The sequence below is a fragment of the Homo sapiens genome, chromosome 4 (genome assembly GCF_000001405.40).
Source record: "Homo sapiens chromosome 4, GRCh38.p14 Primary Assembly".
NCBI lineage: Eukaryota > Metazoa > Chordata > Mammalia > Primates > Hominidae > Homo > Homo sapiens.
The window spans coordinates 185,637,123-185,657,275 of NC_000004.12; the positions used below are offsets into that span (position 1 = coordinate 185,637,123).

General features: G+C 40.2%; 1 protein-coding gene across 42 annotated transcripts in view, besides 2 other annotated features; it reads right to left on the bottom strand.

The window, feature by feature from the left end:
* SORBS2 (sorbin and SH3 domain containing 2) overlaps positions 1-20,153 on the bottom strand; it is a 370,850-nt gene that overhangs the window by 51,600 nt on the left and 299,097 nt on the right. For 18 of the 42 annotated variants that reach the window (NM_001394255.1, NM_001394267.1, NM_021069.6 and 15 more), the window contains 4 exons: positions 15,540-15,606; positions 14,662-14,706; positions 12,345-12,534; positions 9,546-9,660 (listed from right to left, as the gene is read on the bottom strand). In NM_001394255.1, coding sequence (NP_001381184.1) covers positions 9,546-9,660; positions 12,345-12,534; positions 14,662-14,706; positions 15,540-15,606 — 417 coding nt within the window. Of the gene's footprint in view, positions 1-956; positions 1,041-1,754; positions 1,914-9,545; positions 9,661-12,344; positions 12,535-14,661; positions 14,707-15,539; positions 15,607-19,492; positions 19,625-20,153 lie in introns of those variants that run through there. The other 24 variants (NM_001394248.1, NM_001394247.1, NM_001394254.1 and 21 more) reach the window with 8 other exon arrangements.
* Positions 1,248-1,887: an enhancer, noted in NCBI's record as "H3K27ac-H3K4me1 hESC enhancer chr4:186559524-186560163 (GRCh37/hg19 assembly coordinates)". NCBI's record gives its function as "activates a minimal SCP1, AML or CMV promoter by ChIP-STARR-seq in primed H9 embryonic stem cells {active_cell/tissue: H9 hESC(primed)}" and the evidence as "EXISTENCE:reporter gene assay evidence [ECO:0000049][PMID:30033119]".
* Positions 14,213-14,507: a silencer, noted in NCBI's record as "tiled region #2405; HepG2 Repressive DNase matched - State 5:Enh". NCBI's record gives its function as "represses a minimal TATA promoter and a strong SV40 promoter by Sharpr-MPRA in HepG2 cells {active_cell/tissue: HepG2}" and the evidence as "EXISTENCE:reporter gene assay evidence [ECO:0000049][PMID:27701403]".

A 20,153-nucleotide genomic window follows, 5' to 3' on the forward strand; every position in this document is an offset into this window, starting at 1 on the left:
GTACAGTCATGTGTTGCATAATGACGTTTCCGTCAACGATGCACCTATATATGATGGTGGTCCTATGGGATTATAAGACTGTATTTTTACCATGCCTTTTCTATGTTTAGATATGTTTAGGTACACAAATACCTACCATTGCATTACAGTTGCCTACAGTATGGAGTGCAGGAACCTGCTGTACAGGTTTGTAGCCCAGGAGCAACGGGCCATAGCACACAGCCTAGGCGTGTAGCAGGCTCTAGCATCTGGGTTTGTGTAAGTACTCTGCGATGTTTGCACAATGGCAAGTCCACCTGATGACACATTTCTCAGAACCCGTCCACATCCTTAAGCAACACGTGACTGTATTTTGTAGTGGGATTACTCTGGCAGTATATTATAGTGAGAACTGCCCAGAGATTTTCATTTTTCTTTAACAGGCTCTGCGTTTAACTTCTTACTCTGCCATTTACTATTTTGTGCACATTACTTAACCCCTCCAGTCCCCATTTTCTTCTTCTTGGCGGGACATCAGGAGGCCTCGAGGAGATAATGAAGACAGAAGCCCGCACTCTCCAGGTGCCTGATGTTTGCTCAGCAAACAGGACTCAATGTCAAGGTGCTCTTCTGCTTGAACTAGACCAAATAGACTGTAAACAAATACAAATCTTCTATACAGCTGTAATAATTGTCTGAATATTCCATCACAGAAACTACCTCAAGATTTTGAACTTGTAATGAATTAGATGTAAAGAAATCTTAATGAATGACCTACAAACCACATAGGAAATGTCTGAGCACATTTGACCATTTGGTACAGAAATGAATCTGGACTACGCTGTACCAAGTGTGTGTATACATTATGCATTCGGCCTTTGTTCTCTGAATGACACCCACGTCTACTGATAATTGTATTTTAGAAATCAAACAGTATACTCCTAGTTTTCTTATATTAATAGTCTAGCCTCACTTACCGGGCGTCCAAACTCCAGTTCTGAAAAGAATTTATACCAGGGCTCATTTTCTAAATCTATGTCATCTGGATTTATGCGATCAGTCTAGAGCAGATGTGAAGGAAAAGGGAAGGAAAAGGCACACTGAGCAAAGTGAGGGAAACGCTGTGTGGCATGAAAAACTCACGCGCGCATTGACACGCAAACATGCATCAACTCTCACCCCACGAACCTCAGCAGGAGAGAACGGAGGAAGTAAAGTAAAACGAGTAGCATGAGGATGTGAAGGCGAGCTCCATGGCAGGGGGTCCCTAGCTGTTTCCTGCGTCCATCGTTTCTGATTGGCATAAGTTGTGGGCAACTCTTGCTTGAGTTGATCCACTTACGCTTGAGGCATGAACTATGGACCACTCTCTGCGGCAGCGAGACTGGGTCTGGCTGGCACGCCTGATGTTTGGAATAGGCTCAACCCAGTCACCAAATAGCTCTTTTGGGCGAGTCACTTCATCGTCCCTGCCCTCATTGGTGGCTAGCAGTCCCAGCATGGGAGCCCGCAGTCTGCAGACAATTCACTCGGGTGCAGGCAGGTGGTAAGCCTGGGATGGGGAAGGGTGCGGGAGGGGTGGGAAGACAGGCGAGCTGGGGGGAGGGGGACAGGGCATTGGGGGGCTCTCAGGGGCCTGTGGATGAGAAGATTCTGGGGCCTGGATGGGTGCGAGCGGGACCCGGGGGAGTGGGAGTCGCCAGGCTCTGAGCAAGCAAGGGCTGCACCTGCACCTCTGCCGGGCATGAAGAAAGGTAAGGAAGGAAGGAGCTCACCCGGGTGGGAGACAGAGCCGGGGCGCGCGAGCTTGGTGTGGGGGCGCCACTCCGGGGCGGAGGGGAGGGGCTACCAGTGACTTCTCCGAGTCGGGAGCTAGAAAGAGGCTTCCGGCCAGGTTCCCTTGGAACAGGTGTCGGAGTTGTTGGGAGAGGGGGCTGCAAGAAAGAGGGGTGCAGAAACTGGTTCATTAGATGGAGGCTCTGGGCGGAACCGCGAGGACACCCTGGCAGCGCGCTGTGCCTGCGTTAGGCCGGGAGGGGAGAGGCCTCCGGACGGCGAAGTGTCCCTAGGGACCCAGACGCCTCGGGAGCGATCCGGGCCGCTGCGAAGCCCTGCCCACCAGGAGTGGATCCCCAGGATTCACCTCCCGGCTGCCTGCTCTGAGCTGAGAAGGGGATCTGGTTCTTCACAATACCGTGGATGGCGGGGAAGGGGAGGGAGCCTGGGGTAAAATCCCATCTTGGTTTCCTCGATGTTCTAATTTAGAGAAAAAGCCAGTTTTATAATTGACCTGCTTCCCTGCAGAGGTTTCTGAATGTTGTTTTTAAGATGAAAAAACTAGCAGTGTTAATATAAACAGTTGGAGAAAATACATACAATTATTCTAGTAATAGAAAACAGATGTAGAGTGTTTACCTTACCCAGCAGTGTCCTTAATATTTTCAAATAATACATGGCTGACTAGATTGATTTAGGCTGCTGATTTTGTAGTAAATCTAAGAGCTTAAAGTACTATATACAAGTTATTACTTCTTTGATAATTACTATATGACACTAATTAAATGTGGTACAATTGAAGAGTACAGTATCTTAAGTCAGAAAAAAAATTCTAAGAAAAATTATATGGTTCCCTAAAAGCCATTCACTCTGGCTAGGAGAGGAGCTGTGACTCCCAAGACATATTCTAGGAGGACTATTAAGTGCTCACTGCTTCAGAACAATTCAATATCATTTGCTTACAATTCTTAAAGAAACTCAGGGACTTAAACTGAATAGCGACATCTTGGTTGTGAAAAAAATGCTATGTAACCTTCGCAGTGCTGGGAGCTTGAAATGTTCCATATTCCAACAAAAGCCATGATTTTGACATTGTTCTACTGTTTTATTGACTCGTTGCATTTACAAGTTTTGCTAATGATACACAGTCTACACTTACTAATAAATTATACTCACAGTGTTTTTAGTGATGTGACTTTGTTTCAATATTTTATAATAAAAGATTATAGGAGTAATTACAGACAATGATAGAAAAGTTTGAGGCATCGTGACAAAATAGTGCAAAAGCCTAAGTTATCCAAAAGATGTAGTGATCATAATTATAAAGACTGTGTAGTGTCCCTGGGAAATGCTTACAATGAGATACCAAGCAGTCAAAACGGAATCTAACCACGCACCTGTACAGTAGTTACAAAGGTATTACAAAGCTTGTCTCTGCATGAACACAGTAAAGAAGTCACACATACACAAACGACTACAATGGTGTTCTGGTATTGCGACTGTTTGTTTTTTCTTTCTTTTAAATATTATTTTGCTTTATTGTTGTAATGTTATTTTTGTAATAAATAAATTCAGAGAGAACATCCTACTATTAGACATAGGAAAATGCCTAGAAATCTTGAGATATTTTTCCTTCTTTATGCCAGTATTATATTTGGTTTACACCTCAGAAGTAATAGTGAAATTGGTAGAGACAAAATATTCTAGTAACCAATTTGCTATTTTCTGTTGAATTTAAAAATTTAATTCAATTTATATTTGATTCAATAGTTGCAATAGTATTAATTGAGATTTTAATGTCCATAAAATACTATTTTTCTCCAATTATTATTTAGATCATTATAGATGCATAATTGTTCGTGAAATGGCTTTGCTGGAGCTGGTTTTTAGGGTAACTGACAGGAGAGAGAATTTCCAGTAATTTCTCTTCTGTTTAGAGAGACATACTATTTCTTCTACAGGAAAACTAACCTCTGACTCTTTTAAACTTCATAGTTTCTAATGTTACACACTGAATGATATCATTAATTATTATAACTTCTGTTTTCAAGAATAGTATTTTGTTTTGCCAAGGGGAGATAGAAACTTCTCTTAGAGGAAACGAATCTGTTTAAGAAACATTATGAACAGCAGAGGGCAGCCAACTTACTAAATGAATAAGACTTGTTAGCTATGTAGCTTCACTTTGACTCCCACATTAAGAAAATATGTAACAAATGGATATACCAAGTCCTGATTTATAGTAATGCATCTCTATGATAGAATATGGAAAAGGAAGCAGAATATCTACCATCTTGCATCATACCTTAGAATGGCAGTTTTCCATGAATTATGCTTTTGTTTATTTAAATAGTCAATTTATAGTTACAATGGGCAACTATCTAGAATGCATGCCAATAGAAATTAGCAGAGAAAACACCCAAAACAATGATAGCTGGTAATTATCGATAACTTTGGAATGCAATGAAAGGCACATGTTTGAGCAGAGTTGTGTTAAAGGAAGTGTTAGTGGCAGAACTAGAATTTTCTCTTTGCTGTGGTTGCCGTATTGAATCTTTTAAGTCATGCAATAATTAAATGTCCTATGGTGACCTGGAGGCACTGCTAAGGAACACAGAAGCCTCGCAACAGTCAGTGACACACATACAGATGGTCAGTCAACAGATGGATATACACACAAATCACTAATCTCAGTAATTTAACACTTTCCATGTGGAACATGGACATTCCTTTGAGTACAGCACTAATATTAACACTCAGAAACTCATTTAGGAGGTATGATTATGGTTTACTCTAATTGCTCATAAAAGGCAAAAGAGCAAAGATACTGATATGCATCTTTCTAGCCTTGGTGTGATTTTTTTGTTGTTGTTTCTTTTCATTAAAAAAAAAAAAAAACCCACCAGCAAACCTCCGTTTAAAACTAACTTTGTTAGTCATCAGTGCAAGAGGACGTGTTCAAGAAAAGCTACAACTATAAATCACAAGTGATCCTTACTTAAAAGCTACCAAGGGTGAACAACTTTAAAAATTTTAGTGTTTTCTATAATTTAAAAGCATTTAATTGCTTTTGTGGTTATCGAGATTCCACTAAGTATTCTCAGTGAGGCATGTGCTTTCTATACGTTGTTCTAAACAAAAAGAAGTGCCAGGGCTATTTTGTTTTTCAAATTACGCTCATTCCATTTTAAGTTTTAATGACATTGACTACCGTGTTTTATATTTATTGTGGTTTCACAATAAATGCTATATACATTATTAGTTGGGATAATTCTTAATGGTCATCAGATGAAACTCCTTAAATTTTTATAGTTAAGTATTGACTGACAATCTTTATTGATAAAGAAGCTTAAGTTCATTAAGGGTTTAAGTTGCATTTCAACTCTGCTACAGTGTTTTCAATGACTATTTTCTTCTGCTTTTATCATTATGTTCAAGTTTAGTTATTGTAGGTTAGGGTAACATTTTCATATATTTTTTTTTTACTTTATCAAGCATACAGAGGTCCTAAACAAATGCTTTATTAATTTTTTTTTTTAAATTTAACATTACTCACCTACAAACATATCCAATGCAATGGGATATAAAGGTTTTAGTAATATAATCCCAGCAGAGTTTTTATGATTGTCTCATGGAAAAATTAAATTGTGGAAATACGGTTCTGATTTGTGGTTCGAGTCAGTTCAAGGCAAATTCCTGGTGACTGCTAAGTACTTTTCCAGATCAAACATTAGGCCCAATTAATTAACATTTCTAAATTTACAGTCACATGAGTATTTATGAGCTTCAAAAAAGTGCGCTCACTTTTACTTTCCCTGTTAAAGAACATAAACGCATATGCCACTGATTCCTAAGGAAGATCTCTTTGCCAGGGTCTTGGGAAGATTTTTGTTCAAACAGTACTACCCCCCTGCCTTCTCTGTATCCCAGGGAATCGTGGAATTATGAGTCACTACTAATAGCAGTGTGTCAAACCCCTCCAAGAATGTTTTGAGACCCACTGGGCCTTTTGCACTAGAAATATATAGGCTTCATGGATAAACAACAGAACAAGGATTCAGTCCCTCACCAACTTTTTCCACTGACTGCAAGGGTGAAACCTGTGTTCCTTCATTCACTTAGAAATTCCACGAATGCATATTCACTGAACACCTGCTACAGGCCAGGCATCGTCCCAGGTGTTGGGATACAACTGGTGGACCAGTCACAGCCCTCGCCTTCAAGAAGCTCAAGATCTCATGAGGAACACAGTGTGCCATGGGCACACAGCAGGGAGAGCCTCCAACCTAATGCAGAGGAGTCAGGCACATTCCCTGGGGGAGGTGGGACTGTGCTGGGACCTGGAGGATGGGATAGAATTCTCCATGTGAAGGAAGAGGTGGTGGGGAGAGCTTTTCCTGGTGGGGAGGTGCAGCCTTTACAGAGGCCCAGCAATGCGGGAATTGAAAGTTCTCTGTGCAGCTGGAACCTAGCGAGGCAGGGAGGGTGGGAGGAGAGATGAGGCTGGAGAGGTCAGCTGGAGCCCAGTCACAGGTCTTCTATAAATTATGCTCAGGGTTTCAGATTTTGCTCGAAGGACAGTGAAGAGCCAGAGAAAATTTTGAGCTGGAGGTTTTATAAAGATTTTCTAAAGATTGCCTTCGCTGTGGTGTGGAGACTAGACTGGAGAGGTAGGGAAATGAATCAGGTGGCTGTCACTGTAGCCCAGGCACGGACAATTGTGGGCCAGAAGAGAGGAGCAGCAGTGGCACTTCTCCTGGCAGGCGACACTGAGTCCACTGCAGGAGAGGGGAAAACCCAAGATGACCCTTTGGAAAAGTGGGCAGATGGAGAGGCCATGTAGAGATTCAAAAGAGCAACACAGAATTGCCCAGGTGTTGTGTATATTTTTCAAAAATTGAAAATGAAAAGAGCAAAGGAATGCTTCCAAGGCATCTTGGAGTCAAAAGACATGAGAATGCATGAATAAGACCTTGATACCCCTCAGCGCTGGCCATCGCTGCGACGCCACTCTCATTCAGCACGCCTGCTCTTCAACCTCTAGCCTGTATTTTCAACACTTCAGAATCTTATGTAAACTATATCAGTACGCGGCCAGTCTCTACATCACCACGGCCCACTTGGCTCTTTTTGTTTTCTAATTTATAGAGGCAATTGAAACGAAGTCAGGACTAATTTTTTTAAAAAGATGATGAGCTGGTCCTACACTGGAAAGGCTGGCCAACATGTCCCATATGGCCAGCTCAAACCATTCTGCTTAAGGCTGGTCCTCTCCAAAATTGTTTAGGAGGGTTAACATTTTTGGTTCTTTCTATTTCTCCATAAGATAGCCATTCTCACTTCCTTCCAAGTTTCTAAGTTCCTTCTACTTATCTTCTCCTGTGGCTGCAGAGACCTATCCACACTCGAATCTCTGTCACACTCATGGCTCCAGAGTTTCCTGTCTTACAACCAGTCACATCTACTGGTCCTGTGTGGTAACTACTTAGGGCCTAAGTTTCTGATAAAGTAAATCAAGTATACTTTATTGTAAATTAGCCAATAAATAAATTAATTTATACTGCAAAATCATCAAATAAGGGAATCAAATAACTGCTACTTCAATGTGTTTCCTGCTCAGCCACACCTGGAGTGGCTGTACAGCAGCGACCAAGTGCACCAGGCATCAGTATGCCTGGGCTCAACTCCTAGTTCTGGCTCCCACCATGTGTCCCTGGGGCAAGGCGAGCTAATGTGTGTTTCAGTCTCTTCATCTGTAACATGGAAATGCCATGTGTCTGCTTAATAGGGCTGCTGGAAACTTTACATGAGATAAGGCATAAATTACTAATTACAGCGCCTGGCATATAGTGAGTGCTCAATAAAGATTTACAATGATTGCTATTGCTATTATTATTGCTATTGTAAAACGAGGAGTCTTTAAAGTCTTTTTTAACCCAAAGACAAGAGTAATGTGACAATTTCAATAACAATGATAGGGTCAATGTATAAACCCTAAAGGGAGCAAAGGGAGGGTTTTTTAGGTGTGCGTCTGTTTTAACCATATAAGAGGCTGTTTACTTTGCACAAACTCAGATCTAGTCTTGCATAGATATTAAATGATAGACTTGAAGTTCCTCAAGGTAGAGAGTGTGTCCTGTTCCCCGCTGTGCACCTCACATAAAGCCTGGCATGTAGCTGGTGCTCAGTCAGTTTTACTGAATGACTAAATAATAGAAACATCGTGGTGGGAGAGCGTCTAAAACCAATCCTGTTTCCTGACACCACGGCTACCAAAGCATTCCAATACCATTACCATGTTCGTTATCCTAAGAGTCTCATAAATTACTAGAAAGATCATTAAAATTTTGTTATTTAATTTAAATCTGAGATATATTATTTCACTGTTTTCAATTTTCTGCAATGATGACATTGTGTTTCACTCAATTCTCATTCTGGAAATTTCAGAGTAGCATGATACTCAATCACAGAAACTAGTAAATGGGTTACAAGTTTGCAATGGTGCCTGCAAATCAGTGATTTTTTTTTTCTTTCAGTTTTTCTTTTGTAGTCCTGTTACTCTAAAAGATATGAGTTATTTAAAGAAAGGGTAAGAAGGCTTAGACAAATATCATGTATGAATTATCTGATGATAAGGTTTTGAACATGCTTCTCCAGAACACAACCGCAAACACAGGGTTTCAAAGACTCAATCAAGGACACTCATGTTGGGTGTGGCAAGGCTAGAGTTTCCAATTAAACCACAGGGCTGGCCTTGGATTATATATGAGTGTGATTTCTTGGAGACTCTTGAAGGAGCTCCACAAAGAAAACTCTCTTTTTCCTGTTCACTGACACCTAAAATTCTTTTAAAGCAAAAATGAGAGTAAATTGCAATTGATTGCAAATGTTTTCCTAGAAGTAGGCTTGGAAGGAGATGCAGAGGAACTGTGGAGTTTCAAAGAAAATCCTGAGGACACTGATTTCTGAGGGGAAGCAAAGGACATGCAAGGGAGTATTGGGGAATCAAAACCAAAGAAGGCCAAGGGAAGACCTATGTGTGAACCTGCGCTTCGAGGAGGCAAGTGGTTCTTCTTAAGTGTATAGATATTTTTGTTTGCATATAATTAAATAATTGGAAAAAATCCTGCAAAGTGAAATATAATCTTGATCCATTAGAATGACAATCAATCAGGAAGCTTGAGGCTTGGTAACCTGAGGAGGGATTTAATAAGAAGCAATTAAAACAACTTGTTATGAAAAGGGCATTTGGAAAATTCTCCCTTCATCCAAAGAAATATTAAAAAGCCAATATGGAAAACAAGGGATGGAACTGCCTGGGTCCATGTATATTGGGGAGATTAATTAATGATTTTTCTCATTAGCAAGCTATGATAGCAATTAAGTATTGCACTTATGAACTTTTTTAAAAGTTAAACTCTGATTAATGATTAGGCACAGTTAGAGTTACATGCAAATGAATCTTGCATATAAATATATATATGTGTGTGCATACACATGTGTATATATGTGTATGTATATACACCTGCATGTGTGTGTGTATATATATATATATAAATACACACACATACACACACACATACACTTGTATTTGGTCAGTAAAGACAATATATTAGAACATGTATCTTTCAATTCTGAGATGAGATGTACAAATCATTATACAAAATAAACATGATTTCTAAGTGATTACCTTTGTGACAAAAATTGCTAATGGGTCTGAAATTCAGGTTTATTGGGGAGCCCTGGGAGCCCAGCGAGCTGGCATATTCTGTTTAATGACAAGTGCTTACTGGTCTTTCATGCTGAAGAATTGATGACTTGCCAGGTTCATATTCAAAAATACTCCTTGGCTCAGACCGAAATTTTCTTGTGTCCACTTTTCTGTCTGGAGGATCCCAGTCATGCCTAGAAATAAACAATAAATCACACATTAAAATAATCCTTTTTGCTTAAAGCAATTGTGTAAAACCAGTTATCTGTTTTCAACATTACTTTTAGCATAGTTTTAAAAAAAATCTCTCAGGATAAAAAGTTAACCTGTGAAAAATACCACATTCCCCCGCCACTGGCTCCAAAAGTCACATGAGGGGTTTGTAGACGCGCAGAGAGTGAGTCCCTGGGTTCCTAATGGCAGCTGTGTATATTTGTGCTTAAAATAGGTGGCAGTATGCTCTGCTGAACTATGAGCATTTAACCCACCACTTTGTGACCTTTGGGATCCTTGATCCAAAGTGACAAGGAGTAATGCACACACCATGTTTGATCTTATTTCTTGAAGTGGGATCATCGCTTGGGAAGAGCACAGAAGTGTCATGTGGGTTGGCGTGCACCAGAGCAGGCAGTGTGGAACAGGAGGTCGTCTTTTGGTGTGAGCCTTGAAAAACCAGAGTCAAACATCTCATTCATGGGAACCAGCACTTTTCCCCCAAGGAATATCTTCCAAGAGGCTGTCAGAAGACTTACGAAGGAAAGCTTCAAAAAAGGGTTTCACAAAATTAAGCTTTTCTAGGCTACTGAGCTAAAGAAGAAGGCTTCTTTTTTTTTTTTTTTTTCGAGACAGAGTCTTCCTCTGTTGCCCAGGCTGGAGTGCAGTGGTGTGATCACAGCTCGCTGCCATCTCACTCAAACTCCTGGGCTCAAGCCATCCTCTCTCCTCAGCCTCCCAGGGGCCATGATTTTTAGGAGGAAGGATTTTCTGACTGTAGATAGGGGTAATTCTGCTTCCATGGAATGGAATGAAATTCTTGCTCCATGGCCCGTTGGAAATAGAAATACTCTAAGAGACAGAATTAGGGACAAGCCCTAGCTTTCTACTAAATTCATGACTGATATGGAGCAAGACCCCTTAAACTTTCTCAGTCTTCATTTTTTTCCATTTGTGTAAAACACAGACAGCAATAATGTGTTGTTCTTCCTTGCAGAGGAGTTTTGAGCATTACATGAGATAATACATATGAAAGCCATATGGAATTTTTTAGGAGGTTATCATATGTTTTAATGAGATATTTAATTTTAACAAAACATATCAGATGGGTAATACCTTTAAATCAAAACGTTAATTTTGGTTATTTTTTGATGACAAAGATAACAATTTGTGTCTAGAAAACTGTTTCTCAATTTTAAGGCCTCACATAATTCATCCTGAGGAGATTGGTATTAAAATGAGACCCCTTTCACACACGATGTGTGTGTTTTGGTGGGATGCTGTGCCCTATATGATCATCAATTACTCTATTATAAAATTTTTATTTGTTTTTTTTTTTTAGTGAAGATGGGATTTCGCCATGTTGGCCAGGCCAGTCTTGAACCTCTGGCCTCAGGCAATCCACACACCATGGCTTCCCAAAATGCTGGGACTGGCTGGGTGCAGTGACTCACGCCTGTAATCCTAGCACTTTGGGAAGCCAAGGTGGGTGGATCACGAGGTCAGGAGTTAAGACCATCCTGGCCAAGGTGGTGAAACACCATACAAAAATTAGCCGGGCGTGGTGGCTGGTGCCTGTAATCCCAGCTACTTGGTAATTGCTTGAACCCGGGAGTCGGAGGTTGCAGTGAGACAAGATCACACCATTGCACTCCAGCCTGGGTAACAGAGTGAGACTCCATTTAAAAAAAAAAAAAGTGCTGGGACTACAGGCATGAGCCACCACGCCTGGCCTGATCATCAATTACTCTTAATGGTACAATAGGGTGTTGAATACAATTTTTCTGGAATGGGTATGATAACACTTAATAACCAGTATTAATAAGAAATAATTTTTATATTCTTATTTATTAATTGCTAGGATAGCATAGGCCTTGGGTTTAATCAGAGCTGAGCTTGGACCCTGGCTTGGACATAACGAGCTGCATGAGCTGAGTAAGTTCCTACCATTTTCTAAACTGCAGTTTCTTCCTCTTTAAAATAGAAAGTATCTCACTGGGTTGTTCTCGGAATCAAATGATATGACACAGAAAAAGCACTTAGCCTAGTGCTTGGCTTGTAATGAGCGCTCAATGAAGGTTACCTATAAGTAGAAGTATTAGTCATAATCCCAGTAAAAATAACACAATAAAAAAGTGTTTATAAATTTTTATTTTCATGTAGATAGTTTGTATAAAAATATTTCAGTGGAGAAAGGAAAACTCGTATTAGCTTGAAAAACTGGTAGAAACAAGTCACAGACACTTATTAACTAATGCCTCATTATGATTTTTGAATAACTTTCCCTGCTTTCAAAAATGTCTCTTATTAATAGACCTGGGGAAACAGAAAATGAACTGCATAGCCTGTAACCTGGTATGCCAAAGGAAGTACATGTCCATTATTTCTATTTACTTGTCTCTTATATGTATGTATTGATCAAAAAGCAGAAAATGTGTCCATATTACTTCAAGTCTAATTTAGGGCACTCCAGTATCATGAAAGAAGACAGGGAAAACATTTGCTACAATCCCAGCAGAGGAGGTCAATATGGTATATGTATAGACTAGCAAGATTACACATCCGCTCTCTCTGTGGCAGGTGCACTGATTCTTCTACTGAATGCCATGTAGACTTATTTTTATCCTAAGCGAAACATAGGCCACCCTGGGGGGAAATGCCTTACTTTTCTGTTGAAGACCGATCTCTTGGTCGAAGCGGCGGGACTGGAGGTGGAACATGTGGGGGAGGCACTGGGGAGGACGCATCCTTAAAGGCATTGGGGCTGTTGTCGGAGTGGCTTTTGGAAAGAGGTCTGTAGGTTTGGGTCTTTGCAGCAGGGTGTGACTGAGCACTGTAGGGTGGGTTGTACAGACCTATCATGACAAAAAACAAAAGCAGACAAAAAACAGAAGCAAATCACCTCTTAAAAATGAATTAAATTATTTGTCCCCCTCAAAATAGCCAATGATTGCATAGAAATTATTATCAATAAGCATATTCATAATGCATACATTAGAAGGTAGTTTCTTAATTTATTAATATTAATGTACTAATTTCCATTAATTTATTAATTACAAATTTATTCTGTACCTAAGCCCTGATTACAGTAAATCTTTGTCAATTATTTCAGAACTAGTAATAATTCAGACTGGTACTAGGAATAGACTTATAAGCACTCAGCAAATTTTCTCTTCAATTGTATACACTAAGAAAATAGTTCAGTTTTCAGAGCAAGATTAAAAACGGAACTGTTTCCAAATATCTTCTAATACTTTAAAAACCCTGATTTACATATGAAAATTGACATGCTAATTGTAGTCAAACAAAATATTGCACACAGTTGTGTTTATAAAGTGCTGTGCAAGGTACAAGGAAACATGAGTCCTCAATATGCTTAGAGTGCACCTGGGAAAATCAGACACAAATAGAATTATGATGGAAAATAATTGGTAAAAGATAATAAAGACCAAATGAAGAAAACACATAGTAAGAATTAAAGGATGCTAGTAGGTGGTAGATTGCTCAGAGAAGGTATTATGGAACCCACGAGTCCAGAGTCAGCCCTGAATGAGTTTCGGTGAGCAGGGCAAGAGGGGAGCAGGGATGGTATAGAAAAAAAGGCAGAAAAGTGCAAGGTGTGAAGCCATGGCTTGCACGGTTAGTAGAGAGCAAAGAGACTAGCTGCAGTTGACTCGTCCACTGATCAAATGATCAGCTTGTAGGGCTGTACAAAGTAATATATCACTGCTGTTCCATTCACTAATCACTAATGTGACACAAACCTCAATATTAAAACAGTTATAAAAATTCTAAATTTTCCTGCACCCAATCATTGGAGCTAATTCTATTTGTACCCGTTCGCTTCTCCTGAAAGTCCATGCACATTTCCACAGCAAATGAAAAGAGACAACATCTACACTTACAGTTTTGCTTGGATTCAACAGTCGGACTTCAACTTTTGAGCTAAATAAAGGAGGTGAGTTTGGTGGGCGTGGGAGCAGGGATGAAATTAAGGGAAACATCTTTGTGGGCCTGAAGCTATCAGTGGGGCGAGCCAAGACTTAAACCCAGAGGGCTTGCTGAGTTTGTTCTACTGATTTTCCCTCTATCAATTTGTCTTTGGAGATAGGAGCACAATCCCAAATAGTTAAAGGGCCTGAATGTGGTCTCCAGGGGTGCAGAACAGGAGGATCATGCGACCCCAGGCTGCCCAGAGGACCCCAAGTGAGGTTGCAGCTGCTGAAGGGGAGGGGAGCAGTGCCAGCCTCCGAGCCTGGTCTAAAGAAAGAAGAAAAAAAATAGTTGTGCACCTGTCCTGAGCCTGTGACTGGGCAGGGAGAGGAGCCCTGGGCAGAATCCCGAGGCAACACTCAGGAGAAAGTGATGAAGGGAAAAACATTTGTCAGGGGTCCCTCCTTCCAGCCTGCAGACCCCTGCACGAGATACCAAGGCTCGCCAATCCAAGTGGCAGTGCCTGGAACTGAAGCCATTCTATTGTGACCACTGGCAATTCTGAGTCAGAAAAGTGGCCCCGCCAAGGGGGATTTTTAAACTCTTTCAATGAATGGTTGCATTTTGGAGCAAAAGGCAGGGACAAGGTCACAGAATACTTTGTTTGACTTGTTTTTGGTGAAGTGTATCTGAAAGATCTTACACAATTGTAATCATTCTCTCTGCTGATAAAAGATCTTTATCTTATTTTGTACCCTGGGTTACAGTGTGTCCTTTCAGCCTATCCTTCACACTTTGGTTAAACATTCCTGAAGCTGAGAATAAACCAACAGTGGGAATGAATGAGATAAACCAGTATTAGTTCTCATTTCCATGAGAAAAGTCAATCCTTTTGTTATGCACGCTCTGAGAAAAGAAAAGAAATCCTCCTCCTAATATATGAACTGAAAACATGTGCTCAAACAGAAGGGGAAAAAAGGTGACCGTGTCGTTCTTCCAAACATTGCTGAGCATAAAATAGTCATTGCGAGCAAGGAAACCCATCCTACCTGCATTGTATGTATAAGGAGTATTATACATGTCTGTGTCATCATCTAGAAAATGAAACATAAATATTATGGTAATATAGATTGTCACCAAAGGACAACGAGACAGCAGAACTTCAGACAAACAACAGAAATTTGTTAGAAAAGCAACGTATTTTTCCTAGTTCATAATGCCATTTTCTTTCTTTTTTTCTTTTTTTTTAAGAGACAGGGTTTTACCCTGTCGTCCAGTCTGGAGTGCAGTGGTGATCATTGCTTACTGCAGCCTCCAAACCTCCAACCCCTGGGCTCAAATCATTCTCCCACATTAGCCTTCTGAGTAGCTGGGATTACAGGTGTGTGCCACCACAGGCCTCTGCAAACTGCCCTTTTTTATCTGTAACATATTCGTCTTGCTGCCCTCTTCGTAGCATGCAAAGTCAGGCCCTTGTCCTCGCTTCCCCAGAAACCTCTCTGCTCTGGATCGCAAATTTCCTTTACTAAGTGCTTTAGTGGTCTCCTGTCTACAGAGCAGGCTCAGGCAGACCCGCGCAGGCTCACTCTCCTGATGAGAGCAGACAGGGGTGGACAGAGGAACAATGTGTTTTTCACCCAGGCAACACACCAATTTAGACTGTGGACAGGGGAGGATGGAGGGCTGAGGCCAGAGTGCCTGGTTGTCCTCCATGGGGAGGCTTCTTGGCAGCTCAGGTGGGAGGCAGAGGCACAGGGATCTGTCACCGGAGGGGTGACAGAAGGAGAACAGGAGGCATGCTGAAAAGAAAGGGGACACGGAGTTTGCTGGGGTCTTGACATTGTGTGTGAATCAAACCGATGCAAAAGACGAATGTAGTCCCTTCAACCCACAAGGACCTCATCAGAAAGCAGAGCAGCAGACATACCCGGCTTGTGCACCATGTGAATTTGCTTAAACATCGTCTTGTACCAGTCCTTGGGCCGGTCGACTGTCTGTAATGAAGAGAGCGTCCAATGGTTACAAACTGGCTTCCAATCAACATCGCTTCTCAGTGTTTTCATTTCTCTATTTTATGTTCTTAATAACAGAGTCCCATTCTGTGATAAAATGTTCTGACTCTTTGCTATGGCTTCATGACAGTTTCAGCAATTTACTTAGTTATGTGTGCAGTTTGTAAACATATGGCCTTGTGTTTGAATTTAGGCTGAGTTGGAACATTAGATGCTATGGTTTTATTTTTTCAAGTTATAGCTGTACCCTGCACTAGAGAGTTGATATTTGCACAAATATATAAAGTTCACTTAATGTAAGTTATTGTTGTACTAATTTGTTTAACTCCTTTTGGTAGATAATGATCATTATCCTTAGATGCTTTTTATTGAATGTTCTGTAAGACAGTGTTTTCAGAATTAACTGGGGAATATTTTTGACTCAAATTGTATTCTGATCAGTGTGGCTCTAGAGAAATAAATTTGCTATTTACTAGTCTAAGCTACTAAAATACTGAATGTAGTAGGCATCCCAGAGTCCTACGGAAAATTTAAGAATGTAGATATTGCTTCAAAAATGCTAATATGATAACAGAGTGTATACAACATTTGCTCGGCTAAAATTGTAGGTTCCTTGAGAGTAGAAGTCCTTACGGATCCAGGCGTCGGACATGAGGGGAGCAGTAGGCTGTAGTGGAAAGATGAAATTAATGTAGAGTCTTGAACTAAGATTCAAATCTTGGTTCCTTAAATTGCTGCTTAATACACCCTAGCAATACGAATCTGGGCAAGTCATGTCACCTTCTTGAGCCTCAGTTTTCTCCTCTCTAAAGTGACATAATTATATCTAAATCATAGGATTGTTATGGAAATCGAATGAGACAATGTATACACAAGACCTAGAACAATGCCTAGAATATAACAACTACTCAATAAATAATAACACTAGGGAACTGCAAATATTTGTAGAATGAAATAATGAATGAACGTAGCCTATTGGATAGAGCTCTGCCTTTCTGGATACCTGTAAAAGTAGACACATGCTTTTATAATCGTACTCACAGATTTTGCTTGGCAAGATCTTACCCCAACTCTCTGAGAGCTACCTGGGCAACAGGCTTGATGATTCTGCTTATAGTAACTAAACACACCAGACGTTCCAAGACAGATCTCGATTTAAAAACTTCTGTTAGGACTGATACGAAAGCATTCTTATACTTACTAGACTGAGCTTTGGGTTAGATTTTATTGCCTGATCTTTTTTTCCCCAGAAATGTGGTCACTGCATTTTTCCTCTGGACATTAAGGGTTTTGTGCTATATCTAAATTTATTTTGACCTCTGAGAATATATTATTCTGAAAAATCACCCCAAATACAGGTTAACATGAAGGGCCACTTGACTTCGTTATGAGTCAGCTCTTCATTCTCGGCTCTTTCTCCATGGAAGAGTTGAGGTTATTGATTGACTATTCAGTCAAAGGACGGGACATGGTGGAAGGGATTGCAGTGGTGAAGCAAAGGTCTATTATTTGCTGGTTCAAAGTTGCTAAACATGTATCTTTCAAGAAAGTTTATTTTTATAAAGGACTGATTTCTCTTTCATTAAACCTCATTTCTTTTACTGTACCAAAGCAACAGAAAATACAACATAGTGTTGTGCAAAAATGTTTTCCTGGACGTGCTGATGGCAACAAGGAAGCCTACTAAGTAAGTCCTATCACTGTATATGGCAATACATGTTGACAGACAGGTTTTTTTTTCTTCACTTGCTGGAGGGCCTATATCAGGTAGGATCTCACAGTGATGCCATCTGCTAGCTTTATATGGTGAGCACAAAGATGCCAGAAAATGCCCTGCTGGCAAAGGGAAATATGAAGCTGGAAAAATAAAATACGAAAACTCTATGTCCCTTTCTAAAAGAAGTACTCTAAGCATTTAAAGTTCCTTTTGTAAATGCCATCATGGAGATCGCTATGCCTAAGGCTGAGAATAAGAAAATAGTCTACTCAAATTTCAGGAAGTTTACTTTTGTACGTAAAATCATTTTGCATGAAAAATAGCTACTAGCAATTCACTATGCCGTTTTTTCTACAACCTTGACTAAATAGACCTGAATTTTTACATTCCTACAGTTTTCAAAACATCAGAACTCTACACTGATTTAACACGCAGAGATTTCAAAAAAGATAAAAAAGGACATATTTTCTACATAGCAGTATACAGTGACTCTGTTCTATTTTTTTCTCCTTTTCAGTTTTGAAAATACTCAAACAAGTGTTATATTGGAAGTAGAAGAAAAGAATCTTGTATTTCACTTAACTAGCTGGCCTTAATGACACAATCTCATGGGAGCTGAGCCCTGGCGATTTTTGTTGTTTTGAAGAACAGCACTGAAAGGTTCACATAGATGTCCCAGGTCACATGAGAGAGGGCAATCTGGAGAGCTGATTCCCTGCATTAAAATAGCTCAAAAGTACTGTTTGTTGACTCTTGGCTTTCTAGAGTTTCTGGATGACTTTACAAAATTCTGTTTCCTCGGCATAGGCTGGCTGTCTAAAACGATACTGCAGCATGGTACATTGTGACAGTACCGCCTTTGGCAAATACACTGAATCTGATCATCATTACTTTCTACACATGAGAAAGAAAAACAACCTTGGAGAGTCTTGGCCTGCTGTGGCTCAGAGACAGCCTGACTTGACATTTATAACCACAGCTATACATGGGGATGTACTCTGGAGGGCTGTATAGTCAGTGTAAGAGGAGAGTCCTCATAGACCTGGACCTTCTTTGTCAAGTTTTAAAGGTCCAAGTAAGACAACAATTGTGCATAAAAATTACAGTTCCTTATAAGGAACTTCTGCATTGGTTATATTGTGTTTTCTATTTTATAGAAGGGAAACTGGCATTAAATGTTTAGTGTGTTTGCTTATGCATACCCAAACGTGCTTTTGATTTGGCAGTTGATAAACATTTTAAAAATTTTAAGATGATTTAATTTTCATCAACCATCTCTAGCATCTCAGTTTTTCCTTTTGAAACTAACCAGGCAAAGTCTGGTTAGTTAAGGAAATTATGTCTTATAAAGGAAGAAAACATGGACCAGGCTTGCATGTCCATTATATATCATTTATTGACCTAAAAACATACCCAGATATCTTTGATAAAATCCTCTCAGACAGAATCTATAACTACATAGAATCAGGGCTTTCTTAATTTTGTCTATACTATGCCTCAAGTGCCAGTTACACAAAACCAATGACACCATTTCTGTCTGACTGTCTATCCCTATATAATTAGAAGAAAGTTTCAAATTTAACCATTTTGAGTCAGAAATCTTAGAAGGGAAATGAACAAGAAAACATCATCACCAGAAACATGTAATCATCATAAAATGAAGAATATTGGTCATAATCCCTGAACTTTTCTTTGGCACATAAATATGGCAATCGTCAGTTTCAAGACAGATTGTTAGAATGTCATATCACATTCAACGTTTCCTCAATCTAAAGAGTCTAAAACCCCAGTAACTGCTGTACAGATTTACTTTTTGGCTTTCAATTGTAATATAGATGCTGAGAATAATCCATTTTAAACTCTTCTGTCTGTATATAAAACACATAATCCCCATATAAGAATGTAAAGTCAAGGAGAGAAGAAAATCCCCACACTTTATCGTTAGTTCTTTTTGACTGTTTCCAATCTTACCACGGCTTTTTTTTTTTTTTTCCTGCTCTCTTTCCCATTCTTTGCCTCTATCCCTTATTGTCTTGGCTGCCCAGGTCTGCATTCCAGGGGAGCAGCTCTTGGCCACACCCCAGCTTTACATGGGTCTTGCTGCAAAGTATATGCAGCTGCAGTCCCTCCCCGCATGGCCCCCAACTTCACCTGCAAAGGTGTTGTTGCTTTCATCCTGTCCCCGGCTTCCTTCTCCCGGCTGGCACAAGCCTTCTCTTCCAGTGGACTTGGTCAGCCAGCTGCTGCCTGCCCAGGCTCTCAGAAGCTGCCTCTGCTACTGCTGCGTTTTGCCGGAAGGGGCTGCCCAGATACACTGAGCAATGCTTTGGCAGAGTTTTAAAACTTAAAAAAAAATCCAAACACTTTCACTTATCATCCCAGGAGAGCTCTCAGCAGGCACGGCTGAAGAGGGACATTAAAATGTGTATTTTTCTTCAGACAGCTTTTCCTTTCCATGACATTAACTCTCTTCACTCCAATCATCTCACCTCCCAACTCCCAAATCACAGCTTCCAATCTCCCGGTGTTAACACACATCTATTTCAAAAAACGAACACATCACTGCTTTATTCGCAATGCATGTGGGAATTCAATGCAGCCAAAGAATTTCCATTGTCTTGTTCCTTCTCTTTTCTCTCTATTGCCCTAAGCCTCCTTGGTAAAAGGTAAAAGAAAAACAAACAAACAAACAAACTAAACCACACAACACAGTTTTACCATTTAACAAAATCGCAATGTTCATGATGTTTCATTCAAATGGAAAAACAGATTGTGTAATTCTCTCCCATCAACAGCTTTCTTTCTCTGCCAC